Here is a 27,351-nt window from a genome sequence, read left to right on the forward strand (position 1 = left end):
AATTTGAGTGGTTCCTTGTGCTCCTTTGACATACACCCAGTGTATATACCAGCTTATTTGGGTTTGAGTGCCTCTTTCCTTTCTGACACTACAGGATACTCCGGGCTCATCTTGTATTTCCTGCCCCAGTCCTAGAATCCTATTTTCTACGAGGAACCCTGATTCCTTTCATTGTAAAATGGCATTAGAAACTGGCTGGGCATGGTGGCTCATGCCTGTAATCCAGCATTTTGGGAGGCTGAGGCAGGTGCATCACCTGAGGTCAGGAGTTTGGGACCAGCCTGACCAATATGGTGAAACCCCATCTCTACTGAAAATACAAAAAAATTAGCTAGGCATGGTTGCGTGTGCCTGTAGTCTCAGCTACATGGGAGGCTGAAACAGGAGAATTCCTTGAACTTGGGAGGTGGAGGTTGCAGTGAGCCGAGATCGCACCACTGCACTCCAGCCTGGGTGACAGAGCGAGACTTCGTATCAAAAAAAAAAAAAAAAAAAAAAAAGAGAAACCAAGGTCTGGGTGCTAGGTGTGCTTCTTGCTATTGAGATGTCATTTCTTTCAGTCTCAGCTGACAGAAAAAAATGTGTGTATATACTGTTAAACACACACATATCTATAAATATTTTTATAGGTAAACATCTGTACCTATATTAAGCTAAACATGAGCTCGTGCTGACATCTCCAACTCTAATCCATTACACAGATCATTGGAGCCTCCTCCCCTTGTTTATCTGTGAATTCCCACCCCAACAGTGAGAGAACCAGCTCCCTCCATCTGGCAGCCACTTTTAAGCTGGATAAAAGATTACTCATTTTCTAGCAAAGGGAACTCTGGCAAGTGAGAACTGTTGACCATCCACTTATTTGCCTGTTCATCCCATAAACACGTGTTGCGTTGCTGTGTGCCAGATGTGCTAGGCCTTTAGTATTCATCTTGGGTTACCCCTGCACATCGCTGGGACCTGTAAATGTTTGTTGAAATATCCTGAAAATATTTTTTAAGTTTCGACTTTTTCGTATTGGATTTAAAATACTTTTGTGCACCTGTTACAAGCCAAACACTATAGGGATCATTCATAGTTTTGAGGACTGCCTATCTGTCAGATTATGGGCTATGCCCTGGGGATTCAAATTTAAAAATTAGGCACACATGGTTCCTGCCTTCACTGACCATATTCAAGTGGAGGAAAAAAAAAAATCTCCATTTTACAGATGAGAAAACTGAGGCTAAGAGTGAAAAGGATCTGTCCAAGGACACAAGTAGTAAGCTGCGAGGTGGGCTCAGATCTGACTCCTGGGCCAAACCACTGTAACCACAATACCTGCTCTAAATCCACCCAGAAGTCAGCCAATCTGCTCTTTCCTCTTTTGGACCCCTGTGGATGCCTCAGGAAAAATGAGGGCACAGGTAAGAAGGTACTTGACAGCAGGTTGCAGCATGTCTATGCTGCAGTGGTCCAATCATAGCTCACTGTTTGAAATAAATGAGAAAATCCATCTCAGTAATTCAGTTTTACATTTAGGCTACCCAAACCATGGGCTTTAAAAACATTACCTGATGCTGGTATAAGAAACATAATACAAACAATAAGGTTGGATTCATTTTGAAATTTAATAATTCTAATAGTAATAAGAAACATAGTTTATGCTTTTTTTTTAATGAAAACAAACAAGTAATTTTGTAAAAGTCAGAAAACACCAGTATCCTTCTGATCTCATCCTGGATTTTTCTGTCAGCTGGAGGATGCATTTCTGACCCCATCCCAGACACGTGAAAGCAGAAGACATGATGCATCTATAATAATGAAAGCACAATCTAAAGAGTATTATCACACCGTGAACAGCTTCTTCCTGACCCAGAGCAAATATTAAGAGAAAGACAATATATTTACAAACAAGATTTAATAATGCTCACAAGAATAGAGTTTGCCCCCAAATGGAAAATTACACATTATTTTGTTTCAAAAAGTTATAAATTTAGTGCTTGAAAAATCCAGCAGGTAAGTAGAAGGACTAACAGGGTCTGTTTCTGGAACTGTCCGCCAGCAAATGAGCATGCTCTGTCCTGGAAGCCATTTTTCTTTTTCTTTTTTTTTTTTTTTTTTTTTTTTGAGACAGAGTTTTTTGCTCGTTGCCCAGGCTGGAGTACAAAGGTGCAATCTCGGCTCACCACAACCTCCGCCTCTTGGGTTCAAGCAATTCTCCTGCCTCAGCCTCCTGAGCAGCTGGGATTACAGGCATGTGCCACCACGCCTGGCTAACTTTTCTGTATTTTCAGTAGAGACTGGGTTTCTCCATGTTGGTCAGGCTGGTCTCAAACTCCCGACCTCAGGTGATCCGCCCACCTCGGCCTCCCAAAGTGCTGGGATTACAGGCAGGAGCCACCACGCCCGGCCAGGAAGCCATTTTTCATGGGAGGGATATAGGGAGAGGAAGGCGATATTTACATCCCACTCTGCACAACTCAGTACCGCCTATTCATTTTCTTGAACTTCTCATAATGATAGTCATCAGTTGCCTTCTCGTTAGCAGGACGCTTGCGGTTAGGAGGGGACCCTGAGAAGGAAAAGAACAGGAAAGGTGGTTTGCCATGCTGGAACCCACTGCTAGACTTTACTCCATGCAGGCAAAGACAACTGCCTGTTTCCTTCCCCACAGGAGCCCCAGCGCCTAACCCAGTGAACACAGTAGGGCCTCAGTAGATACGTATTTGTCTTTTTTTTTTTCTTTTCTTTTCTTTTTTTTGAGATGGAGTCTCACCCTGTTGCCCAGGCTAGAGTGTAATGGCATGATCTCAGCTCACTGCAACCTCCAACTCCCGAGTTCAAGTGATTCTCCTGCCTCAGCCTCCTGAGTAGCTGGGATTACAGGCACCTGCCACCTCACCTGGCTAATTTTTGTATTTTTAGTAGAGACGGGGTTCACCATGTTGGCCAGGCTCGTCTTGAACTCCTGACCTTAGGTGATCTGCCTGCCTCTGCCTCCCAAAGTGCTGGGATTACAGGCATGGGCCACCGAGCATGGCCAATACCTTTTTCTTTTCTTTAAAAAAAAGATGTGGTCTCACTCTGTCACGCAGGCTAGAGTGCAGTGGTCCAATCATAGCTCACTGCAGCCTTGAACTCTTAGTCTCAAGCAATCCTCCTGTCCCAGCTTCCCCAGCAGCTGAGACTACAAGTGTGAGGCACTGCACCCAGCTAACCTTATGAGTAGCTTTTATTTGTCCTTACTGAAATTTTCTAACTTCTTGAGTCTCTACTGTGCGTGAGAATATGAGAGAGTATGAATTCTCAGAGTAATCCTAACAGGTAGGTTCTATTAGGATTCCAATGAGGAAACTGAGGCTTAGAAAGGGGAAGGCACATAGTCATGGTCCAGAGCATGGACTGGAACCCATATGCCCCGGCTCCAATGCCAGGCTCCACCCTGTCCCCCGCTGCATCCTGCCTCCATGGGTTCCCACATTGCTGAGCACTCCAGGCAGCCCCGAGGCCTTTGTTGCACTCACGCTCAGGCTCTGGCTTCTCCGTGTCACCTACTCTCAAGGGCCGGGCCTTGGGCTCTTCTTTGTTTCTCCGTATGGGCGCGTTGAGCTCCTCATGATAAACTGGACCCAAAGAGACCAGGGGACACGTTAGAACATGAGGTTCCTAGGGATCTCAGCCCAAATAGGGGAATGGGGGCAAGACTGCTCTCCGAGGGGCTTACATCTGTTGTGCTGCACATAATTCACAGCCATGTTGGTAGGCACGAAGGAGGTCTCGCTGTCTTTCTTCTTGTTCTGCTGCTCTGCCAGCAGACGGGCCTTGGCATCCTCCGTGGAAATGATATTTTTTATTTTAGCACTATGGAGAGAAAGAAACCACACCACTTAGAAGATGATAGCACCTTACTACTCAGACATGAGTGGTGAGGCTGGCAGCCCAGCAGTACATAAGAAAATCATGTGTCCTGGGGCACAGCTCTCCACTTTATCAAGCACACTTGTAGTCACATTCTCACGGGACTCTCACGGCTGTCGGAGAACCACAGTTACTCTGCTCTTCTGATCAAGAGCAAATTGAGCTTCAGAGAAGTAAAATGCTTAAGGCTCAAAGTTTGTAAAGGCCAGAAAAGAGCCCAGAAGCCTCCCAGCTTTCTACTGTACCAGAAGATTATTCTAACAATTGTACCTCTTCCATAACAATTCCCTTTTAAAGTGGATATTTTAAGAAGGATCATGGGGAGAAGGGGTGAGTGAGCCTTTAACATGGCTCCTGCTAGAAGAAAACAGAAGAATAAAGGGCCTGATACAGCTGAACAGCTGTAACACGCTAAAGAACCACTTTTGCTTCCAGCAGTCAGGGGCCCTTACTACTCTGATCAAGCCTTCAGCGAAACTTCTAGCAACAACCTGCCAGGGACAATCTCATTTGTATTTGTAGGATTCTAAGGACACAGATAAGAACATGGGGTCTCATTACATTGCCCAGGCTGGTCTTGAACTCCTGGGCTCAAGTGATCCTCCCACCTTGGCCTCCCAAAGAGCTAGGATAACAGGCACAAGTCACCATGTCTGGCCTTTTTTTTTTTTTTTTAAAGGGTCTTACTCTGTCACCCAGACTGGTGTGCAGTGGTGCAATCATGGCTCACTGTAGCCTCAACTCCTGAGCTCAAGTGACAGCCCAGCTAATTTTTTAAATTTTTTTGAGAGACAGGAGTCTGACTATATTTCTCAGGCTGATCTCCTGGCCTCACGTGATCCTCCTGCCTTGGCCTCCCAAGTACTGGGATTATAGGCTTATAGGCATCAGCCACCATACCTGTCCCCCATAAATTTTTTTTTCCTTTTTTTTTGAGATGGAGTCTTGCTCTGTCGCCAGACTGGAGTGCAGTGGCATGATCTCGCCTCACTGCAACCTCCACCTTCAGGGTTCAAGCAATTTCCTGCCTCAGCCTCCCAAGTAGCTGGACTACAGGTGCCTGCCACCATGCCCAGCTAATTTTTGTATTTTTAGTAGAGACGGGGTTCGACCATCTTGGCCGGGCTGGTCTTGAACTCCTGACCTCGTGATCCACCCGCCTCAGCCTCCCAAAGTGCTAGGATTACAGGCATGAGCCACCGTGCCTGGCCTGTCCCCCATAACTTTTAACTGGAAAGCACTGTGTCTTCTGCCTAGGGGTCTCAAACATACTCGATGCCCAGGTCCACCTCAGGAATGCCACTCAGCATCTGGTTGGAAAGCATCTCCTCGGTCTTCTTTGCTGAGGAAACACGGATGTTTTCTGGAAGTTCATAAAGACAGTCCTCTGCATTCTTTGGCTTAACTTTCTGTTCCTCATGTTCCACGATCCCTTTCCTCTTCTTTAGCTCTGTCTCAATGTACTTCATCCTGAAGTGAGAAACCCAGAGGCCTCAGGGAGGGGTGGGAAACACACACCAGGTGTCCTCTAAATCAGTGGTCCCCAACACTGGCCCGCAGACCAGTGACAGTCCATGGAGAAACGAGAAAAAAAATAACTTGAGTTTTTTCATCAAGTTAGAAATTTTCTAAAGAAGCACCAACCTATGAGGTTATGTCCCACTAATCTATTGGTGTTATGATGTACAAGGTTCTTTGAAGACAGAAAGATGATAGTTTGCCAATAGCTTTGTTGGCAAAATAAAAAGTGGGCAAGCCCATGTTTTATCCCTGCAATGTTTTGGGGAAATATTACTAGTCATGAAACCACCTTTGAAAACAAGTTTTTATTTTTTATATTTTGGAGACGGAGTTTCACTCTTGTTGCCCAGGCTGGAGTGCAATGGCGAGATCTTGGCTCGCCGCAAGCTCTGCCTCCCAGGTTCAAGCAATTCTCCTGCCTCAGCCTCCCGAGTAGCTGGGATTACAGGTGCCCACTACCACACCCAGCTAATTTTGTATTTTCAGTAGGGACGGGGTTTCTCCATGTTGGTCAGTCTGGTCTCGAACTCCCCACCTCAGATGATCCACCTGCCTCGGCCTCCCAAAGTGCTGGGACTACAGGTGAGAGCTACCGTGCCCGGCCTGAAAAGACCTTTTAAGAGGTTTTCAAAGTTCTTAAGCTGGGAAGTAGAAAGAGAGGGGCCAACTTTGACATCTTCTAGAAAATTCTAGAAATGTCATCTGTTGACTAAATATCTTGGACTCTGACTGGAGTCCAGCCCCAACTGCTCACAGCCAAACAGACTGACACTTACATGTCTGCATCCTCATCCCTTCGGTTGGTTTCTGCAGAAAACGATGTCCCCAGGTGCAGGTCCTCCTCCTCACTGATCCTGGAGGGAGAGAACAATGAGGCAGAGCTTTCAAGTCACAACTCAATGAGGCTGAGTTTTATGTTCTAAGAAGAAAACAAAGACATAAGCATTTATAATATCCTATTTACAGTTGGCAAAAAAAAAAAAATGCCGTAGTATATGTAAAGAAAAGAAACTCTAGAAATATATGCAAGCAAACTGTTGGCTGCTAGTGATACCTCCAAGGATTGAGTGGATACACTTATCCTTAGGTATCCATGGGGGATTGGTTCTAGTGTCCCTCAAGGATACCAAAATCTGCAGATAGTGAAGTCCCTTACATAAAATAGTATAATATCTGCATCTAACCTACACACACACTACCATCTGCTTTAAATCATCTCTAGATTACTTATAATACCAAATACAATGTAAATGCTATATAGTTGTCACAAAAGTACACAGTAAACTTTTATTTTTTTAATTTTTGAATTATTTGAATGTTTGATTTATTAATTTATTGAGACGGAGTCTCACTCTGTCACCCAGGCTGAAGTGCAGTGGCGCAATCTCAGCTCACTGCAACCTCTGCCTCCCGAGTTCAAGCAATTCTCCTGCCTCACCCTCCTGAGTAGCTGGGATTACGGGTGCCCACCACAATGCCCGGCTAACTTTTGTATTTTTAATAGCGACAGTGTTTCACCATGTTGGTCAGGCTGGTCTCGAACTCCTGACCTCAGGTAATCCGCCTGCCTCAGCCTCCTGAAGTGCTGGCATTACAGGCATGAGCCACCGCAGCTGGCCTGAATTTATTATTTTTGTTAATTGTTTTTATATGAAACTTCCCCATAGGTTCACTTATTTTATTTTTTTGAGACAGGGTCTTTCTCTGTCACCCAGGCTGGAGTGCAGTGGTGTGATCGCGGCTCACTCTAGCCTCAACCTCCCTGACTCAAGTGATTCTCCCACTTTAATTTCCTGAATAGCTGGGACTACAGGCACATGCCACCACACCCAGATATATACACACACATATATATATGCGTGTGTGTATATATATATATGTGTGTGTGTGTGTGTGTATATGTGTATATACATGTGTGTATATACATATGTGTATATGTGTGTACATATGTGTGTGTGTGTGTGTGTGTGTATACATACACACTTTTTTTTTTTTTTGTAGAGACAGGGGTCTCACTATGTTGCCCAGGCTGGTCTTAAACTCCTGGACTCAAGCTAACCTCAGCCTCCCAAAGTGTTGGGATTATAGGCATGAGTCATCACGCCTACAATACACTCTTACAAAAGGAGTCTACCAACTTGGCTCTAAGTTAACTTTTAAAGACTTTTTGCTTTCTTTGTTTTTAAATAACACACCCTTTGCAAAGCACAAAACCTGCTTCAAGATGTCCTACTAATGCTGCTGCTACAGGCCCCAGCTCTCTGAGGGAACCTAGACCCAGGCAGCCGCTAAAGGTGAATTTGCATCTAAGCTTGTCCTGAACTTACTTATCTTTGCCCCTTTCCTTCAGTTTCTTCATATCCACCATACCACCTGTCTTCATCTGAAAGGGATCATCCTGCAGAAAGCAAACACAGTTAAGAGGAAGCATCTAAATACATGGTAGTGGAATTTTTTTTTTTGTGAAGCACGCTCACTCACTGAAGAGCACTGCAGGGAGGGCTGCCATAACTACTCAGGGAAGACCCCATAACTTACCACTAGAGTGGTCTCCTCTTGTACCTTCTCTCCCACCAGCAAGGCCACAGCACTGAGCAAAACCAAAAAAAAAAGAGAGGGGGAGAGAGAGAAATGGCATAATTCAGAGATAAGGAGGAACCCTCTCAGGTATGCGGATTGCAACATTAGTGCAAGGGTGGGATTTGAGGGGTGGGTAGGCAAGCCGGCTGGAAAAGCCTATAAGCATAAGACAGGGCTCAACGAGCACCGCAGATGCTGGAAGAAGGGTGCGCTGGTGGTGAAGTGGTACACTTTGCCACTTTCCTGTAAAGCCATTTGGCATTATCTTGGCCTGGAAATCTCATTTCTAAGATATTCTCATCATGGAAAGTGCAGCTAAAGATAAATTTAAGAGAATATCCACTGCAGCCTTATTTGATAGTAAAAATTTACAAAATCACCTACATGTCCCAAAATAGGGGATTTGTTAACAAATTACAATACACACATCTGGTGGAATATTATGCAGCCATTAAGGCTTTCTGAAAAATATTCCACAATATGGGTGAATGCCCACAATGTCATAATGAGTTGAAAAGAACAGGGAATAAAAGTACATAGAAAGTTGTTCACAATCTGAGAGAGAGAGACGAAAAAAAACAGATTGGAAAGAGTATTCAATATTAATACCAGTGCATTCTTGGGTGGCTCTGCAAGGAAAAAAAATGTTAACACTGATCATTTCCGGATGGGAGAATTATGGGTGCTTTTTATCGTCTTGACTATACTTTTCTAAATTATACAAACTCTTAACGATCGATATGCATTTCACAATTAATTGGTTTTAATAAAAAACGCGAGTTAGTGATCTGTTTCTGTATCTCTGGAGCACACCCCGAGACGACACAGCTCAGGGCATGTCCTGGTTAAACATTTGCAAAGAACGCTGTTCTCCAAGTTGGGCAGTGGAAGGTGTACAGTGTGTCAAGAGAAAAATCTACGTCTGAGGAGATATTTGTGACAGCGACCCGGACGCGGATGTGTCTGTCGTCCCCGCCGCCTCCTCCTCCTCCCCGCGTGGTACCCACCTCACCCCGTTGGGCCTCTTCCTCAAGTTCTGTACCTCTCTGGTCTCTTCCAGTTTTAATCTTTAAAAAGAAGAAGAAGCAGCAATGCATAAGCTGAGTGATTCCCCGCGGAATCCAAAGCTAACAGAGCCAATAAGGCACCTTCGAGGGCATCCCAGCCCAGCTACTGAGCCACCAGCACAGTGGTCCAGAGGACGACCTTGTGCCTAGACCCACCGGGAGTCAGAGCCACTGCGCATCCCGGAGGCATCTCTCTCAACCGTTCGAGCTTGGGGCGGTGGCCTCACCCCTTGAGCCTCAATTTCTGCGTCCGCAGAAGGAACCACCACCCGAGCTCACAGTTAACAATGTCAGCGAAGCGCCGAGCCGGTGGTGAGTCCCCCAAACAAGTCTATCTTTACCAAGCCTATGGGAGCCCCGCCCCAAACGCACCGAACCTCCTCTGAGTCCTGCTCATCTTCCTCTGACTCCGAGTCGCCCCGGCGGCGACGGAAAATCTTCCGGACGACCGGCATGGTGACAACGGCCGAGTTGTACAGCCGCCGCGCCTCTGCGCAGCGGCCCAGGCTGCTTCCGGCGCGCGGCAGAGCGGTCAGAGCGCCTGCCCCGTCTGGCCCCGCCCCCGGCACGCACAGTCCGCGTGGCCACGCCCCCTCTCCTGGCGTCAGCCTCTTCCGATTGGACGGCAGAGGGAAGGAGGTGGGGCGTCGCCAGACGGCCCCACAACCCTGCGCGTCGCCTCAGAGGGGGCGCGCTTGACTGACAGGCGGCGGCGGCGCAGTTGCGAGTGCAGGTGAGTTCCGGGCCGCCACCGGCTGCTTCTGTGGGCCGGGCCTCTGAGCATTGGCGACCCCAGCCCGGCTCCGGGCTGACAGGGCCTGGCTTCGCCAGGTACGCCAGACGCAGCGGCCCGGTGAGCGGAGCCCGGGACCCCCCCGGCCGCCGCCGCCCCTCTCCCCTCCTCCGGTCGGCGCCCAGGGGGGCCTCTGGGCCCCAGCACCACCCCACTCTGAGCTCCCTGGGGGCTCGTGGCTTCTCCAGAACCGGGGCCGCCCCCCTCTCATTTCTGCCGGGGCCTGACCTAGCGTTGAAAGCATCCGCGTGGCGTCTCGCGTCTCGGGCGCTGACTTTTCTTTCCTCGGGCTCTGAGCCCTGACGTGCGTTTTTTTCTTTCGGAACAAAAGATGACCACTTCTCTGCGGTGCTGACTTAGAGTCCCAGCGCCGACTGCCTCACAAATAATGGCCCCCAGCTTCTCCGCGAGGAGAGGCGCGTCTGATGTTTTGAAGCCACGCAAGAGGGTTTGAGCCGGGGGACTCCTCCTCGGTGCTTGCCGGCCACCCCCCTGGACCTTCACGGGTCTGGTTTTCCTCCTTCGGCAGGTCTGTCGCTCTACCCTCTGCCCCTTCCACCCCGAAGATGCTGTGAGGATAAAGTTTATTTGAAAAACTGGTATCAGCAAACGCTTAGGAAATACCTAAATGCATAAATAATGGCTTCTAGGACTTTTAAGAACCCCTTAAGTAACAGTAGTTTTCCTTTTCTCAGTGTCATCCCTTACTTTGAGAACTACCTCTTATTAAGCAGTTACTATGTGGCAGGCCCTGGGCAAAGCATCATCTCATTGAATTCTCCCAGCAATCCTTTGAGGTAGATTGTTTTTCGTTTTACAAATGAGAATGCGGAGTCTCCGAGGGGCAGTGCACGCCTCAAGTTACCCAGCTAGGAGGTGGAACAGGAATTGGTTGCAGGTCAGTCTCTGCCGCACGGTTTGCACAGGGCCTGGCACGGTAGGAGTGCAGTAGATGTTTGCTGCTGCTGCAGCTGCTGTTACATCTCATTGGCTAGGGGGAGGGGCCGATGGGGGCTGTCTGGGGTTCCCCTTTCTGGAAGACCATTCCGAAGCAGGGCAGCATTTCTAGAATGCCTTACGTTTTCTCTGGAACAGTCTCCACTGAGATTGTTCTTCTCTTCCTTGGGCTGGAAAAAATAGTAGACTCGGGACTTCTTGCACCAGCGTTTTATCTTTGGTCAAAAGCCATATATTAAAGTCTCAAAGTCTTGCCCTCTGCAGACTGGTTCAGCCAAACCCAGATGCACGTGCACTCACTGGATACGGAGTCCCTGTCAGATGATGGAGAGGCTCCTTGGGAATTGCTGCAGGAGTCCAGGGGGTCAACGTCTGCAGCTCTCACGCTCTCAGAGGTGGCTCTGAATCTGCCCATCAAGCAGCCCATCCACCAGGGGGTACTGGACACTACTAAGGAAAGGGCAAGAAGGCCAGGGGCATTTCTGGACCCTCCTCCTCAGCTGAAGTCCCAGGGTACAGATGAGCTGCTCCCACCCTTGCTCCATGAGGCCAGAGGACCCAGTGATAACCACCACCTGTGCTGTGGCAGATCTAATTGAGTGCTCTTTAGCAAAAGGAATGCTGAAAAAGTGGCAGCTATGAATCTGGCAGTAAGTGGCTTTGCCAAGAGACTGCAGCCCAAGTCTCACTGGGCCCTTTTAAGCGTAGGATGAGACTGTCTCTCAAAAGGACCCTCCGAGAAATACAGGTTCTATGCAGTTCAAAGATGAATCCAAGGTCTTAGTCTTGTTTGGGAGTTCAGTTGTTTTAAGAAAATGTACAGATTCAACCTAGGTTTTGGTTGGTTTCCTAGCTCCTTTCTGGAGCCAGATGAAATGTTGGCTTGTTTCAGGGTTCAGGGAGCATTCATGTCCGATTGGATTTGGGATCCAGCAACGTGATACAGTTCACAGCCCAGCTATAGTCGGCATCCAATAAATGTATTTATTGGATCAATGTATTCAACAGATTCTTAGCATTTACTATATGAGCAGGCACTGTTCTAAGTGCTTGAAATAAGTCAGCAAAAGAGACAAAAGATCCCTGATTAGTTGAGTGTATGTTCTCACAGTAAAGTATGTAAAGTGTGTTAGAAGATGGTAAGTGCTGTGGAAAAGAAACAAATAGAGCAAAACAAGGGAATCACCTCCGGGAGGGTGGCAAGGTTGAGTTGCAAATTAAAATTAGCGCATTCTGGTTTGGGATTTGGTTGGAAACATGACAGATAAAGCAGTGGATTGAATGATAGGCCTTGGGTTCCAGTCACTGCCTGGTGGTTTTAGGGGTCTGTAAGCTTGAACTTTATTTTACAAAAGCTTTTATTTAGAGTGTACACCCTGAACTCAAGTCCTGATTGTGGGGTATTTAACAGTGATGAAAGAGCCAGGCTGTTCTTAGCCTTTTACCTTAGCAAGACAAACAGTATCCAACTGGTTCTCATTAGCATGAAGGAGGAAACTTGGAGAAGCCATGCACGTTGACAACAATTTTTTTTTTTTTTTTTGAGACGGAGTCTCACTCAGTTGCCTAGGCTGGAGTGCAGTGGTGCGATCTTGGCTCACTCCAACCTCCGCCTCCCAGGTTCAAGTGATTCTCCTGCCTCAGACTCCTGAGTAGCTGGGATTACAGGCGCCCACCACCACACCTGGCTAATTTATGTATTTTTAGTAGAGACGGGGTTTCACCATGTTGGCCAGGCTGGTCTCAAATTCCTAACCTTGAGTGATCCGCCCGCCTCAGCCTCCCAAAGTGCTGGGATTACAGGTGTGAGCCACTGTGCCCGGCTAACAACAAATATTTAAAGGCAGGAAAGTGGCAGTGCTCTTTGGCTCCAGTGAGCAGTCATGGCTCAATAAATAGAAATTTCAGGAGAGCCAATTTCCATTGATTATAAAGACTTAGGTTTGTAGCAACTAGAGCTGCCCTCTGGGAAAAGGGTGATTTTATCATCAACGACTGCTCAAACTGGGTTTGGAGAACAACCCAGTATGGCTTTTACAGAGCAGAGTTGTGCCTTAAGGGGAAGATGCATGGTTTCTAAACCCCTTTAAACTCTGAGATTGCATGGGGGAAGGCAGCTGCAGATCATGCTGCCTGAAAAGAGAGGATCTGATTTCAGGCCCCAGAAATCATGATTTTCCTAGTTCTTAGTTTCCGCATCTCTAATGTGAGTTTTTTCTAAGGTTTCTAGTCTGAGCTTCGAGACTGAGTTTCTGCTCATGCTTACTCACCACTGAGTGTGAGGCTTTTAATGACCTGGGCCAGTGACTGGCTGCAGCCTAGGGTAGCCCCAAACCCACGCCTTCTCCAATTAAGGGACTCTTCCGGACAGAGCTCAGAGCAAAGGGTAGTAGCAGGCTTTGAGCTGCAGGGAGATACTGTCATATCCTAGACTGAAGGAAGTTAAGCTGAGCAGAAAAATGCTCTGAAGAATGACTCAGAAGAGGCTCTTGTGAGGAAGCTTCCTTGGAGTACGCGTGTTTGGATTTGGGGAGGTGAAGGTCGTCCCCATGCCAGGCTGGCCGGGGCTGTTTGTGACATCGTGGAGCTGAGTGTTCAGAGCATGGGCTTCAGGGCAGGTAGTCGTGGGTTCGAATTTTGGTTCTGCAGCTCAGTAGCTGTGTGACCTTAGCCAGTTATTCCACTTCTCTGAGCCTCGGTGTCTCCATTGTTAGTGATGGAGATGGATTTAGTTTGGAACCTTGCCACCTCCCAGGGTGGTTGTGAGGGTCCAGTGAGGTCACATGTGAGAACACCAGACTAAGATGTTAGTGTCAGTTCCAATATTCAGGGCCGTGGGGCAGGGGGAAGGGCGATGAGGAGACACAGAAGTGTGTGGGCAGCAGAGACTGTGGAAGTGTGGAGGCATGGGGAGGCCTGAGGGCTCTGCTTCGAGAGTCAGAGGATGGTGGCCTCCGAGTGAGGACTGGGTTAAGGGAAGGGGTGGGTGTGTCTGGGACTTAGGGAGAATGCTGTTGTGTGGAGGTAGAGTAAAGACAGCAGGAGGGAGAGAAAGGGTGTGCGAGGGCCAGAGGGGACTGTGGAGGGGGTGGGCACACACCCTGTGCGGGGCTGGGGGTGTGAGATGGCTAATGTGGTTGGGGTCAGCGTGGGCAGGGCTGTGGGCATCGTTGTGTGGGTGGGAGGCCCAGAAGTGTCGCCCTCCCCATCCTGAGGGACTGGTTCCTCGCTGGGAGGAGGAGGATGTAGCCAGAACCTCTGGGAAAACAATGAGTAACAGGCACCAGAGGCAGCCAGGTCCAGATGTGCTGCCTACCTAGGACCACAGGCTGTGCTGGCTGGTCCCTCCCCTGCCCTTCCTCAGGCCTTGCCCCTCCACTTTGCCCCTGTGGGTGGAGTGGCACTTTCCCCCACCCTGGAGGCCCAGGGAAGGAAAGCTGCCTTTATGAGCCTGAAGCATCTTGGAGGTCTCCTGGGGCCAGCAATGGTGGGCTCTTTGCCAAAAGTCTCAGGCCTTCCTCCCCCCATCCTGTGCTCTCCTGCCCCAAGAGAGGAGGCTCTGGTGGGCCGGGAGGGCGGGGCACACGCTGCACCTTGCTGACTTGTTGTACAGTAGGTCCTACTCTGCGTGGCTGCACCTGGAAGCACGTTCTTTCAGCTGCACAGGTGTCTTTCCCTTTTGGCCTTTATGAAATGCCTGCTGTGCACACTCCATATATTTGCACAGAGGCACAGGTGGGACGGAAAGAGTGGGGAAAGCAGACACAACCTGCTCGCTTCCTGCTGTGTTGCTTCCTGTCTGGGACCTTCCATTCCTCCTCTGTGAGATGAGAAACAGCCGCCCTTGCCCTAGAGAGTGGGTGAACAAAGCCCTGGGTACCAGGTCTGGAGGCTCAGTGGGTGCTGGGTCCTGGATCCTGCGATGGGGCTGCCTGTTCCAGAAAACCCGCTCCCTGCTCCCACCTCAAAGGTGAGAAAGGGAATCTATTTTTTTAAAAAGTCAAACTTAAGAAAAATTACAAGAATACAATGAACTCCCACATACCCCTCACCTAGATTCACGAATTAGTAACATTTGCCTTATTTACTCTAACTCTAATCTCTATAGTTATTGTCATAATTATTGCTGATTCAGGTAGGAGTAAGCTGCAGACATCACAGTCCTTTTCCCCTAAATATCCCAGCGGGAATTAACTAAGAATAAGGATATTATCATACATAACCAAAGCGTGAGTTCCACCTTTAGAAACTTTTTTTTTTTTTTTTTTTTTGAGATAGGGTCTTGCTCTTGTCACCCAGGCTGGAGTGCAGTGGCGCCATCTCAGCTCACTGCAACCTCCGCCTCCCAGGTTCAAGTGATTCTTCTACCTCAGCCTCCCGAGTAGCTGGGACTACAGGTGCCCACAACCATGCCCGGCTAATTTTTGTATTTTTAGTAGAGACGGGGTTTCACCACGTTGGCCAGGTTTGTCTCAAACTGCTGACCTCTGGTGATCCGCCAGCCTCAACCTCCCAAAGTGCTGGGATTACAGGCGTGAGCCATCACTCCCGGCCTAGAAACTTTCACATTGATGGAATCATGTATTTGTTTCCCAGACCTGCCATAACAAAGTACCACAGACTGGGTGGCTTAAACGACAGAGATTTATTTTCTCACAGTTCTGGAGGCTAGACGTCTCAGATCAAGGTGCCGACAGGTTTGGTTCTTCTGAAGGCCCTTTCCTTGGCCTGCAGATGGCCATCTTCTCACTGTGTCCTGGCTTGGTCTTTCCTCTGTGTGAGTCCGGATTTTCTCATCTCATAAAGATACCAGTAAGATTAGATTAGGGCCTGCCCTAAAGATCTTATTTTAACTTAATTACCTCTTTAAAGACATTATCTTCAAATATGATTACATTCTCAGGTCCTGGTGGTTAGAACTTCAGCATATGAATGGGGGAGAGAGAACAATTCAGTCCATAACAAATACTATGATCTAACAGGCAGTCCACACTCAGGCATGCTGGTTGTCCTGGGGATGTTCTTTGTGGCATCCCCCCACATTGACCCACAATCCAGCTTTGTTATGTCTCCTCAGTGTCTTGCCTGGAACAGTTTCTCAGCCTTGGTGGAGAAAGGGAACCTTCACGTTGCAGGGAAGCAAAGGTGCTCAGCAGGAATGGGGGTTCAGAAGCGCAGGCTGCCCCAGGACAGGGAAGCTGTTGAAGGGTTTGCTCTAGTCCATGAAGTTGCCTTTCCTGGCTTTTTCTTTGATGTCAAAAGCACCAGGAGGTGAGCTTAGATCTCAGGAAGCGCACCAAGAATCCGTGCATGAGTCCCCTGCGGTGTGTCTGACTCCATCACCATGGCGCCTGTTCGTTGCTGGGCTGGTTGGCCTGCAGAGCCCTGAGTGGTCTCATGGAGGGTGCCCTTCTGAGTGACCTTGAGCATGTGACTTCTATTCCTACCAATTTCAGTGTCCTAATGTATAGAACAGCCAGTGACACAAATTATAGTAGTAAACATTTTTTGAGCATTCTTGTCATGCAAATCAATAAAAAATCTGAGCCACCCAGAAAGTCCATGAGGCCCTAAGTCATTCAACTTAGCGTTTACTGTGCATTGGCTCACTTCATCTTCTCAGTAACCCTAGGTGCTGTCATTGTCCCCATTTTATGAATGTGGAGACTGAGCGATTTATCTAAAGTCACAGACTTGCAAGGGGCAGAGTGAGGTACTGAACCCAGGGCTACTTGTCCCTGTAATTTCCTTCCATAGTGACCGTTACCTCCCGGGATAATGTATGTGCAGCAGCTAACCCTCAGTGAGTGTAGGAAACAGAGGTGCTGGTGGTGATTATCACCTCCCTAGTGTCTGCTTGCAAGTACCCTGAGGTTGAAGTATGGGACTCTGTACACTACAAGAGCAGGGCCTATGCCTGGCTGTTTCCCAGCACCCCAAGTCACTGTTCCTAAGGAGGTACATGGTCAGTGTTGGTTGGGTACCAAAAGGAAGCAAAATGATAACTTTCAGACAGCTGAGATATGCACCCTCTTGTCGACCCCCATGCTTCCGATATTTTAGGTCCTGTGTGTGGAAGTTTTTTTTTTTTTTTTTAGACGGAGTCTTACTCTGTTGCCCAGGCTGGAGTGCAATGGCGTGATCTCGGCTCACTGCAACCTCTGCCTCCTGGGTTCAAGCGATTCTCCTGCCTCAGCCTCCTGAGTAGCTGGGCTTACAGGCATGTGCCACCACACCTGGCTAATTTTTTGTATTTTTAGTAGAGATGGGATTTCACCATGTTGGTCAGGCTGGTTTCGAACTCCTGACCTTGTGATCCACCCTCCTTAGCCTCCCAAAGTGCTGGGATTACAGCTGTGAGCCACCGCACCTGGCCCTTTGTGTGGAATATTAAGCACCCAGTGTTTTCTGTACTACCGCCCTTTTTCCTTCATAGAAATGATTTTTAACCATTAATTTTTAAAATGTTAGTAAACCTTAAACTTTTTATGTTGCACATACTCATATACTGCTGATAGGCAGATAAATGTATATACTGTTTCTAAAGGGAAGCTTATCAATATCTATGTAGAGCCTTCAAAGCACACATTTTGACCAATAATTTTTTTTTTTTTTTTTGGTCAAAGATGTAGGCCGGGCATGGTGGCGTACACCTGTACTCCCAGCACTTTGGGAGGCCGCAGTGGACAGATCACTTGAGGTCAGGAGTTCGAGACCACCCTGGCCAACGTGGTGAAACCTCGTCTCTACTAAAAATACAAAAATTATGTGGGTGTGATGGTGGATTCCTGTAATCCCAGCTACTCTAGAGGCTGAGGCAAGAGAAACGCTTGAACCCAGGAGGCGGAGGTTGCAGTGAGCAGAGATCACGCCACTGCAGTCCAGCCTAGGCAACAGACTAAGACTCTGTCTCAACCACGACAACAACAAAAAGACAGTCTGGTCGCAGTGACTCACGCCTGTAATCCCAGCACTTGAGAAGCTGAGGCAGGCGGATCACCTGAGATCAGGAGTTCAAGACCAGCCTGACCAATGTGGTGAAACCTCATCTCTACTAAAAATCCAAAAAGATTAGCTGGGCGTGGTGGTGTGTGCTTGTAATCCCAGCTACTTGGGAGGCTGAGGCAGCAGAATTGCTTGAACCCAGGAGGTGGAGGTTGCAGTGAGCCGAGATCACACCACTGCACTCCAGCCTGGGTAACAAGAGTGAAAACTCCATCTCAAAAAAACAAAACAAAACAAAACAAAAAGATTTAGTCAAAGTTTCACATTCCTGGTGGCTCACACCTGTAGTTCCAGTACTTTGGGAGTCCAAGGCAGGCAGATTGCTTGAACCCAGGAGTTCCAGACCAATCTGGGCATCATGGCAAAACTCTGTCTCTATAAAAGAAAAATTAAAAAGTAGCCAGGCTTGGTAGTGCATGCCTGTAGTCCTAGCTACTTGGGGGGCTGAGGTAGGAGGATCACCTGAGCCCAGGGAGGTAGAGGCTGCAGTGAACCATGATCACACCATTGCACTCCAGCCTGGGTGACAGATTGAGACTTGTCTTTAAGCAAAACAAAAGATTCATATTCCAAAATGTTTCTCAGTGCCTTCTTTATAATGGCAAAACACACATACACAAAATACAAAAATACCACGTCCTATGATGGATAAATAATTCAGTAAGGGGTTGTATAGCTTAAATTATATGTGGTATAATATTATTCACCTATTAGAAATGAAGCTGAAAAGAAATTTAGTGACATTAGAAATATATAAACCAAAAAAAGCTGTATACAAATTTATTGGTTATATTGCAGTTTATTTTTAAAATTTATATATCTGGTTGGGCATGGTGGCTCACGCCTGTAATCCCAGCACTTTGGGAGGCCCAGGCAGATGGATTGGTTGAGCTCTGGAGTTTGAGACCAGCTTGGGCAACATGACGAAACCCCATATCTACAAAAAATACAAAAATTAGCCAGGCGTGGGAGTGTGTGCCTGTAATCCCAGCTACTCGGGAGGCTGAGGTGGTAGGATGGCTTGAACCTGAAGTGGAGAGTGTGTTCAGTCGAGATCGCACCACTGCACTCCAGCCTGGGTGACAGAGCGCGACTCTGTCTCAAAAAAAAAAAAAAAAAAAAAAAAATTATATATTCGTACATGTAAATAAGACTTACCAAAACCAAAAAGGTAACCATATTTTTTTTCCTGTACAGCAGGATTACAGGTGATTTTTATTTCATTTTATGTCTGTGTCTGTTTCCAGCTTCTATGAAGGTATATATCAAATTTATGAAAACCAGACAAAAATGCCTTTAAAATTTTCAGGACAAGTAGGAGAAGATGAAAAATTTGAATACAACATGGAGGTAAATGAGGCAAAAATGAATATTGAGAGGGCCGGTCATGGTGGCTCATGTGTGTAATCCCAGCACTTTGGGAGGTGGAGGTGGGCAGATCACTTAAGCCCAGGAGTTCAAGACCAGCTTGGGCAACACGGCAAAACCCTGTCTCTACCAAAAATACAAAAATTAGCCAGTCTCATAACCTGGTCTCTAAATAAATAAATAGATAAAAATACAAAAAACACATGTTGAGGGCACTTCTTGGCCCCTGTGAGTCACCTGGAGAAGTGTGCTTAGGAGCCATCCAGGTAGCAGCTTTGGGGACTTCTGGGACCACTCAGATGCTCCCACCCCTTCTCTGAAAACCACCCTGTGTAGGCTCAGGGCAGTGCCTGGCACAGGGGCCTGGAGAGCTCCAGGGAACAGAGGCTCTGTCCCCTATGGTGCCCTCAGGAGTTTGGGGAAGAGCAACATACCTAGGAAGCCAGATGCACACTCTTCTTATTTTCTTATTTTGGAAACTTGAAAAACCATTAACAGTAACCGATTTAGGTATTTTTTTTGGTTTGTTTTTGTTTTTAGGAGCAGAGGTTTAACAGGCAAAAGAAAAAGAAAGAAAGGAAAACAGCTCTCTCTCTAGTGAGAGAGGGGACTTCTGAGAGGAAAAGCATTTTTTGTTGTTTTTTGATTTTGGTTTTGTTTTAGAGATGGGTTCTTGCTCTGTTGCCCAGGCTGTAGTGCAGTGGCACAATCCTAGTTCACTGCAGCCTTGAGCTTAAGGGATCCTCCCTCCTCAGCTTCCCAAAAGCACTAGGATTACAGGCGTGAGCCACTGTGACTGACCTTATTAGATTATTAGATTAGAATGATTATAACACAGTCATTCAGGAAGCAAGTATAGGAAGAAAAAAAAGGCAACACAAGTTCATTGTAGAAAATGCAGAAAAGCAAAAAGGAAATAAAAATCACTTGACTCTATCCTCCAGAAAAGATGATAGCATCCTTTCTCTAGGCCTAAAACACATTATTTCACCAAAATAAGAGTTTACTGTAATAATAGGTTTTTTTTGTTTTGTTTTGTGTTTTGTTTTTTTTGAGACAGAGTCTCGCTCTGTCGCCCAGGCTGGAGCGCAGTGGTGCGATCTCGGCTCACTGCAAGCTCAGCCTCCTGGGTTCATGCCTTTCTCCTGCCTCAGCCTCCCGAGTAGCTGGGACTACAGGCGTCCGCCACCACACCCAGCCAATTTTTTTGTATTTTCTTTTAGTAGAGACGGGGTCTCACCATGTTAGCCAGGATGATCTTGATCTCCTGACCTCATGGTCCTCCCGCCTCGGCCTCCCAAAGTGCTGGGGTTACAGTCGTGAGCCACTGCGCCCAGCCATATATATATATATATATATTTTTTTTTTTTTTTTTTTTTTTTTTGAGATAGGGTCTTACCCTGTTGTCTAGGCTGGAATGCAGTGGTGCCATCATAGCTCACTGCAGCCTCATACTTCTGGGCTCCAGCCATCCTCCCATCACAGCTTCCCGAGTAGCTGGGACTACAGGTGCGTGCACCACCATGCCCACCTAATTTTTAAATTTTTTGTAGAGATGGGGTTTCACCATGTTGCCCAGGCTGATCTCAAACTCCTGGGCTCAAGCAGTCCTCCTGCCTCGGCCTCCAAGAGTGCTGGAATTACAGGCATGAGCCGCCCAACATGGCCTAATAGTGTTTTATAACTTTGTATTTTGGGGCCATTCAGCAAATATTTTCTGAGAAGTTACTGTCTTTTTTTTTTTTTTTTTTAAGATGGAGTTTTGCTCTTGTCACCCAGGCCGGAGTGCAGTGGCACGATCTTCTTGGCTCATTGCAACCTCTGCCTCCCAGGTTCAAGCGATTCTCCTGCCTCAGCCTCCCTACTAGCTGGGAATACAGGCTCCCGCCACCACGCCCGGCTAATTTTTGTATTTTTAGTAGAAACGAGGTTTCACCATGTTGCCCAGGCTGGTCTCAAACTCCTGACCTCAAGTGATCCGCCTGCCTCAGCCTCCCAAAGTGTTGGGATTACAGGCATGAACCACCATACCCAGCCTGACTTGTTTTACTGAGTAGGTGTCTTTAGGGTTCATGTTGTAGCGTGTGTCAAAATTTCCCTTTTTAGGCTGAATCATATTTCATTGTATGGGTATATCATGTTTTGTCTATTGATGGGCACTTGGTTTGCATTGTCTTTTGGCTGTTGCACATAATGCAGCTATGAACATAGGTGCACAAATATTTCTTTGAGTTGCCGTTTTTAGTGCATTTGGGTGTATACCCAGATGTGGATTGCTCAATAGTGTGGTACTATTTTACAGTTCTTGAGGAACTGCCATACTGCATTCTGCAGCAGCTGCACCATTTCACATTCCCACCAACAGTGCACAGGGCTCCAATTTATCCACACCCTCGCCAACAGCCAACACTTTTTTTTTTTTTTTTTTTTTTAGATGGAGTCTTGCTCTGTCGCCCAGGCTGGAGTGCAGTGGTGCGATCTCAGCTCACTGCAGCCTCCGCCTCCCAGGTTCAAGTGATTCTTCCACCTCAACCTCCTGAGTAGCTGGAATTACAGGCGCTTCCCACCACACTCAGCTAAATTTTGTATTTTTAGTTGAGACAGGGTTTCACCATGTTGGCCAGGCTGGTCTCCAACTCCTGATCTCATGATCCGCCCGCCTCAGCCTCCCAAAGTGCTGGGATTACAGGTGTGAGCCACTGTGCCTGGCCTCATTCTGATTTAAAATGCTTTTAATCAACTTTATTGAGGTATAATTTACATATAATAAAATGCACGCACTTTAAAGATACAGTGCACACGATTTGACAGGTGTATACACTTGATTAAACCCCACACCAGACAAGATCTAGAACATTCCAACACCACAGAAAGTTCCTTCTTGTCTGCAACATAACTCTCCCCTTTGCCCCAGGCAATCACTGATCCAGTTTCTATCATCATCAGTTTTGTCTGTCTTGGAATTTTATATAAATAGAATCATATGGTATATATGTTTTTGTATCTGATTTTTTTTTTTTTTTTTGCTCAGTTTAATGTTTCTCTAAATCCGACTCATGATTTAGAGCAAGACTCTGCACCACACAGATCTGATCAGGGCCACACCTGTTACAAACTAGCCAGGTGGGCCGAGCACGGTGGCTCACGCCTGTAATCCCAGCACTTGGGAGGCTGAGGCAGGCGGATCACCTGAGGTCAGGAGTTTGAGACCAGCCTGACCAACATGGAGAAACTCCATCTCTACTAAAAATATAAAATTAGCTGGGCATGGTGGCGCATGCCTGGAATCCCAGCTACTCAAGGGGCTGAGGCAAGAGAATTGCTTGAACCCGGGAGGCGGAGGTTGCGGTGAGCTGAGATCGCACCATTGCACTCCAGCCTAGGCAACAAGAGCGAAACTCCATCTCAAGCAAAACAAAACAAAAAAAACTAGCCAGGTGATTGACCTCTGCCAAGTTCCTGAGTTACTTAAGTTCCAATTCTGTGTCTTCATCTGTAAAATGGGAGTAGTGAGAATACATTGAGGGCTGTTAGCCACAGGGCTGATTTTTCTCTCTGAAGTTGCAAGAATGTAAGTCCAATTGCACTTGCAAATCAAGAGTGAGTCTGTTAAATTAGCCGGGCATGGTGGCACACAGCTGTAATCCCAGCAACTCAGGAGGCTGAGGCAGGAGAATTTCATGAACCCGGGAGGCAGAAGTTGCAGTGAGCCAAGATCATGCCACTGTACTCCAGCCTGAGCGGCAGAGTGAGACTATCTCAAAAAAAAAAAAAAGAATGGGCCAAGTTATAACCTGCCCACTCCCTCCCCAGCCACCCGACTGGAGAGATGATCACTTACCAAAGATGCTAGCAAAACCCACACCACTGCAGCTTAAAATAGTGTAAGACTAGTGCCGACTCAGGGCACATGGCCTCAGCAGAAACAATGAAGAAAACTAAAAAACCTGGCTTCAAGTGAGGAGGTTTGGAATTTGGAATCTTGAAGCTGTCATTGTCATGTGACTATTTTAAATGGTAGCTTCTAACTGCCTCTCCCTCTTTGAGCTGTCCACATCTGGGAAACTGTGACCTGCCAGTGAAGTGTGGGTAGTGGCAATGTGTGGATGAGCCCGGTTGTGCCTGCAGCCTGGGCCTGCTGAACACTTGAGGGTCGGGGGTTCTCAGGAAATCCCTGAGAGCTCAAAGGATGGCCTGAGGGGCCTGGTGGCATGTGTGGAAGGGGCCAGGCCTTCCTGTCCAGAGGGTTGATGGACTGTGGTAGCCTGATGGGACAATAGGAGAGGCCCTGTAGACCCCTCCAGCAGACCTGTGCAGGTTTCCTCCTGGGGAGCACCAAGGTAATGCCTCAGCAGTGACTAGTGAAGGCCAGCACTCCCTAGGAGGGGCTGCCCCTGCGTGCCAGCTCTGCCTGAGCCTTGGCCAGCTGGCCCAGGAGTGATGTGGTGGTATTGCTCTCTGGCTGCACAGGGAGTAGTCTAGCCTGTGGACATCCCCAATATCCTGAAATTAGTTCCTCCCAGGAGGAATGCTGGGCCCTTTTTAGCTTCTAGTTGGTGCTAAGAGTGATTTTAAAATAACGGAACTGTCTGGGCACAGTGGCTCACGCCTATAATCTCAGCACTTTGGAAGGCCTGAGGTGGGAGGACTACTTGAGCCCAGGAGTTCAAGACCAGCCTGGACAACAAAACAAGACCCTGTCTCTACAAGAAATTTTAAATAAATTAGGTGGGTGTGGTGGTGCACACCTATAGTCCCAGCTACTTGGGAAGTTGAGGTGGGAGGATTGCTTGAGCCTAGAAGGTCAAGGCTGCAGTGAGCTGTGATCATGCCACTGCAACTCCAGCCTGGGCAAGCGAGCAAGAGGCTGTCTTAAAAGTAATAATAACAGAACTGTGTGAAATGCTCTGGTTCATCCCCCAGGCTCCTTGCCAGAGGCCTCCACTCACTCCAGACCCCTATAGCCCGTCGCTGTCAGCTGTCAACAAAGGATGCGAATGCTGGCCGCTTCCTGTGGGCTTCGTGTCACCCAGAGGTAAGCCCATGGCCTCCTCTCGGGTCCCTTCAACACGGACTGAGGAGGACACATGGATTTTTCTCTTTAGATGAAAGAATGGAATTGTGATTATGGGGTTTTTTTTTTTAAGTCTTTATCTCTTAGAAAAATACAGATGGAATGTGATCGCCTGTGTGTCTGGGACTTGCTACAAAAGCAAGAGGAAGCAGGAGGTTGAGATGAAGCAAGATTGGCCATGAGTTGTTAATTGATGAGTCTAGGTACATGGAAACATGGAAGTGCGTTATATAGTTTGGTCTACTTTGTTTTTTCCTTTTTTTTCTTTATGCTCATCTTTAATGTGACGGTAAGTTCTGCCTGCTTTTCACATTTACATTTTCTATAAGTTAGAAAGCAACTGAGCGGGCCCTTAGGATCTGACCCACTTGAGGTTCAGCTCTAGCGCCAACATTCCTATGAGACCTTAGACAAGAAGGAGCCTCTGTTCCTTAGTCTGTGAAATGGGGCTGATCACAGCTGCCTCAACGATTGCTGGAAGAGTTTTTCATAAACGAATGCACAAAAAGCACTTGGTTTGGTATCTGACACCTCATGAGTTTTAGTAACTCACGTTCTGAATGAGAATCTGGCCAGTTGACCCTGGCTGACCATTTGGGACAGGGAGGGGCACGTAAGGAGGAGTCTGGGGGTCCACCTCTCAGATCAGGTGGGCACACATGCAGCTTCTGCCTTTGTTTTTTGTTTTTTGTGTGTGTGTGTGTGTTTTGGGATGGAGTTGCGCTCTTGTTGCCTAGGCTGCGGTTCAATGGCACGATGTTGGCTTGCCACAACTTCCGCCTCCTGGGTTCAAGCGATTCTCCTGCCTCAGCCTCCTGAGTAGCTGGGATTATAGGCTTGTGCATCATGCCCGGCTAATTTTGTATTTTTAGTAGAGACGGGATTTCTCCATGTTGGTCAGGCTGGTCTTGATCTCCTGACCTCAGGTGATCTGCCCGCCTCGGCCTCCCAAAGTGCTAGGATTACAGGCATGAGCCACCGCACCCAGTCTTTTGTTTTGTTTTTAAGACTCATGCAGTCACAGAGGCTTCTGCCTTTGGTTAAAGCAGTCTTGGCTCCAGTTACATCTTTGGTTGGTTTGGACCTTATTTGGCAACAGTTTGAAGCTATAATCAGCAGTCAGATTCCTGGATTTGATTCTGCTAAAATACCGTAGGTGAAGCATTTATTTAGTTACTCATTTTTAAATGTTTTCTTTTGAAATAATTATAGATTCACAGGCAGTTGCAAAAAATGTACCCTAAGGTCCTTTGTACCTTCACCCAGTTTCCCCTAATGGTAAGAATAACACATACTTTTTTTTTTTTTTTTTTTGAGATGAGGTCTTGCTCTGTCACCCAGGCTGGAGTGCAGTGGCATGGTCACGGCTCACTGCAGCCTTGAACTCCTGGGCTCACATGATCTCCTACCTCAGCCTCTTGAGTAGCTGGGACTACAGGCATGCACCAGCATCCCAGCTAATAATACATCTTAGTATGTCTGTAGTACAATCAGTAAACTGACATTGGCATAATCCATGGAGCTTATTCAGATTTCACTAGTTCTGTAGGCACTCATGTGTGTTCAGTTATTTGCACTTTTAACACACGTGTAGATCCATGTAACCACCCCACACTCAAGATACAGAGCTGTTCATCTTCACCAAGGTGCTCCCTTGAGGGAAGCATTTATTTTCTAAGACAGATATCTTTTTATACCCCTGATTTAAAAGGGAAAGAAACGCAGGAGAATGTTGGGAAAGATGTTTGCTACTTGTTATCAGTGATTTATTTTACTTTGTGCTTTCTTGTTTGAGTTTTGTTTTTATAATGAACGTGTATCAGTTAGACAGAAGCAACAGAGCTTTTTTTTTTTCCATCTCTTGAAACCCATCACCCAGCTGCACCACTGCTGATGTTTTGGCAAACACAGACTGCTTTCTAGGTTGTTCTCCTGCCTTTCTCTCTGACTTTCTCCCTGCTCTCAGAAGACGTTCTCTGGAGGCAGTGCTGCATGGCCTGCTCCCATGGTGGTCTGGTGTTCAAACCTCACTCCGCAGGGGGCTCCCACAAGACGTGGGATAAGTGGTCTGCCAGCACTTGGCCTCCAGAGGCTCTTGAGAAGACCTATGTCAACATCTGCTGCTTGCCTTTTTGAAACCCAGCCTTTCTACACTGCCGCCTTCTCTGCCTGTATCCTTGGACGGACATGGATTTGGCCTCCTCTAACAAAACATCTGTGGTTTTAGATTGTCTGGTGTGCAGCTCCCTGCATGCATGCAGGACTCCCATGTCTTCCCTACCAATAATTCTGATCACTACACCTGTCACCTGCCATGGGCTTTCCCTACATCAGGGACTACACCAGGCATTTGACAGACATTGTCTCCGTGACCTAGGAGCGACCCACTGGGGCAACTGTTATCTTCTTAGACAAGGAAAGTGATGCTCAGAGAGGTTAAGCAACTTCCCTGCGTTACCAGCTGGTTTGTGGCAGACCAGGACTCAAGGCCAAAGTCATGTACTTAACCACTCACCTCCCCACCTCCTGCCAACACTGGCTGCCATTAACCCGGGATTGCTTGTGTCTTCTCATAGGTGAGCCCAGGCCAGGATGGGGGACTCCAGGGACCTTTGCCCTCACCTTGACTCCATAGGAGAGGTGACCAAAGAGGACTTGCTGCTCAAATCTAAGGTAAAGGGTCAGACCTTACGGGGCCAGGGCCCACACCCAGGGCTGCCTCTTTCCTGGGGTGTGGACATTTCTGAAGCAGTGGAAAAACTGGTTCCCTGACAGTCTCTGCTCAGCTTTCTGTGTAAATGGAAATGCTGGCATCTGCTTGGGAGGCCGCCTTCCGGAGGCTCTGTCCTAATAGCCATTAATTATAGTTTAGACAAGGCCATTTGGGAACCACTAATGCTCTCTGTCCATTAGCTGTTGGGGCGGTGCACAGAGCCTCTCCAAGGCAGGGAATGAATGCTGCTTTCCAAGTTCAGGAGCGTTTTTACACAGGTGGCTCCAGGAGGGCTCAGGGAAGCCTGAGCAGGAAGCTGGGCCTCTTCTCAGAGTAGGAGGATGTGTTGCCATCCTTTTGGTGTTGTGAAATG

The 27,351-nt window shown here is 47.5% G+C and overlaps 2 protein-coding genes across 4 annotated transcripts in view, besides 6 other annotated features; one reads left to right on the forward strand and one right to left on the reverse strand.

Moving 5' to 3' along the window:
- On the reverse strand, positions 1,592 to 9,577 carry C9orf78 (chromosome 9 open reading frame 78). Its single transcript, NM_016520.3, has 9 exons — positions 9,441 to 9,577; positions 9,009 to 9,068; positions 7,960 to 8,011; positions 7,749 to 7,819; positions 6,198 to 6,275; positions 5,173 to 5,370; positions 3,707 to 3,843; positions 3,507 to 3,605; positions 1,592 to 2,554 (listed from the first exon to the last, which is right to left on the reverse strand). Exons 1-9 carry the CDS (start codon positions 9,521 to 9,523, stop codon positions 2,463 to 2,465), a joined length of 870 nt encoding a protein of 289 aa, NP_057604.1. The 5' UTR covers positions 9,524 to 9,577; the 3' UTR covers positions 1,592 to 2,462.
- Positions 2,352 to 2,646: a silencer, noted in NCBI's record as "tiled region #5710; HepG2 Repressive non-DNase unmatched - State 15:Elon". NCBI's record gives its function as "represses a minimal TATA promoter and a strong SV40 promoter by Sharpr-MPRA in HepG2 cells {active_cell/tissue: HepG2}" and the evidence as "EXISTENCE:reporter gene assay evidence [ECO:0000049][PMID:27701403]".
- Positions 9,509 to 9,858: a silencer, noted in NCBI's record as "silent region_20391". NCBI's record gives its function as "represses an Ori minimal core promoter by ATAC-STARR-seq in GM12878 lymphoblastoid cells {active_cell/tissue: GM12878}" and the evidence as "EXISTENCE:reporter gene assay evidence [ECO:0000049][PMID:35858748]".
- USP20 (ubiquitin specific peptidase 20) overlaps positions 9,760 to 27,351 on the forward strand; it is a 46,371-nt gene continuing 28,779 nt past the window's right edge. For 2 of the 3 annotated variants that reach the window (NM_006676.8, NM_001110303.4), the window contains exons 1-3: positions 9,760 to 9,801; positions 24,115 to 24,226; positions 26,842 to 26,938. In NM_006676.8, the coding sequence (NP_006667.3) occupies positions 26,858 to 26,938 (81 nt within the window). In that variant the 5' untranslated portion in view covers positions 9,760 to 9,801; positions 24,115 to 24,226; positions 26,842 to 26,857. Of the gene's footprint in view, positions 9,900 to 24,114; positions 24,227 to 26,841; positions 26,939 to 27,351 lie in introns of all 3 variants that reach the window. The other variant, NM_001008563.5, reaches the window with a different exon arrangement.
- Positions 9,889 to 10,038: a silencer, noted in NCBI's record as "silent region_20392". NCBI's record gives its function as "represses an Ori minimal core promoter by ATAC-STARR-seq in GM12878 lymphoblastoid cells {active_cell/tissue: GM12878}" and the evidence as "EXISTENCE:reporter gene assay evidence [ECO:0000049][PMID:35858748]".
- Positions 9,889 to 10,510: a biological region, named in NCBI's record as "H3K27ac hESC enhancer GRCh37_chr9:132597987-132598487".
- Positions 10,010 to 10,510: an enhancer, noted in NCBI's record as "H3K27ac hESC enhancer chr9:132597987-132598487 (GRCh37/hg19 assembly coordinates)". NCBI's record gives its function as "activates a minimal SCP1, AML or CMV promoter by ChIP-STARR-seq in naive H9 embryonic stem cells {active_cell/tissue: H9 hESC(naive)}" and the evidence as "EXISTENCE:reporter gene assay evidence [ECO:0000049][PMID:30033119]".
- Positions 13,703 to 14,203: an enhancer, noted in NCBI's record as "H3K4me1 hESC enhancer chr9:132601680-132602180 (GRCh37/hg19 assembly coordinates)". NCBI's record gives its function as "activates a minimal SCP1, AML or CMV promoter by ChIP-STARR-seq in primed H9 embryonic stem cells {active_cell/tissue: H9 hESC(primed)}" and the evidence as "EXISTENCE:reporter gene assay evidence [ECO:0000049][PMID:30033119]".

Source organism: Homo sapiens, chromosome 9, assembly GCF_000001405.40.
Source record: "Homo sapiens chromosome 9, GRCh38.p14 Primary Assembly".
Taxonomy (NCBI): Eukaryota; Metazoa; Chordata; class Mammalia; order Primates; family Hominidae; genus Homo; species Homo sapiens.

What these genes read in the sequence shown, in the direction of transcription:
- C9orf78 (NM_016520.3), bottom strand. Translation starts at nt 9,523, where the DNA reads ATGCCGGTCGTCCGGAAGATTTTCCGTCGCCGCCGGGGCGACTCGGAG. An exon ending in AAGAGGCCCAACGGGGTGAG is followed by an intron (nt 8,012 to 9,008) that starts GTGGGTACCACG and finishes GGTTTTGCTCAG; the next exon opens with TGCTGTGGCCTTGCTGGTGG. An exon ending in GAGGTGGACCTGGGCATCGA is followed by an intron (nt 3,844 to 5,172) that starts GTATGTTTGAGA and finishes TTCTCTCCATAG; the next exon opens with TGCTAAAATAAAAAATATCA.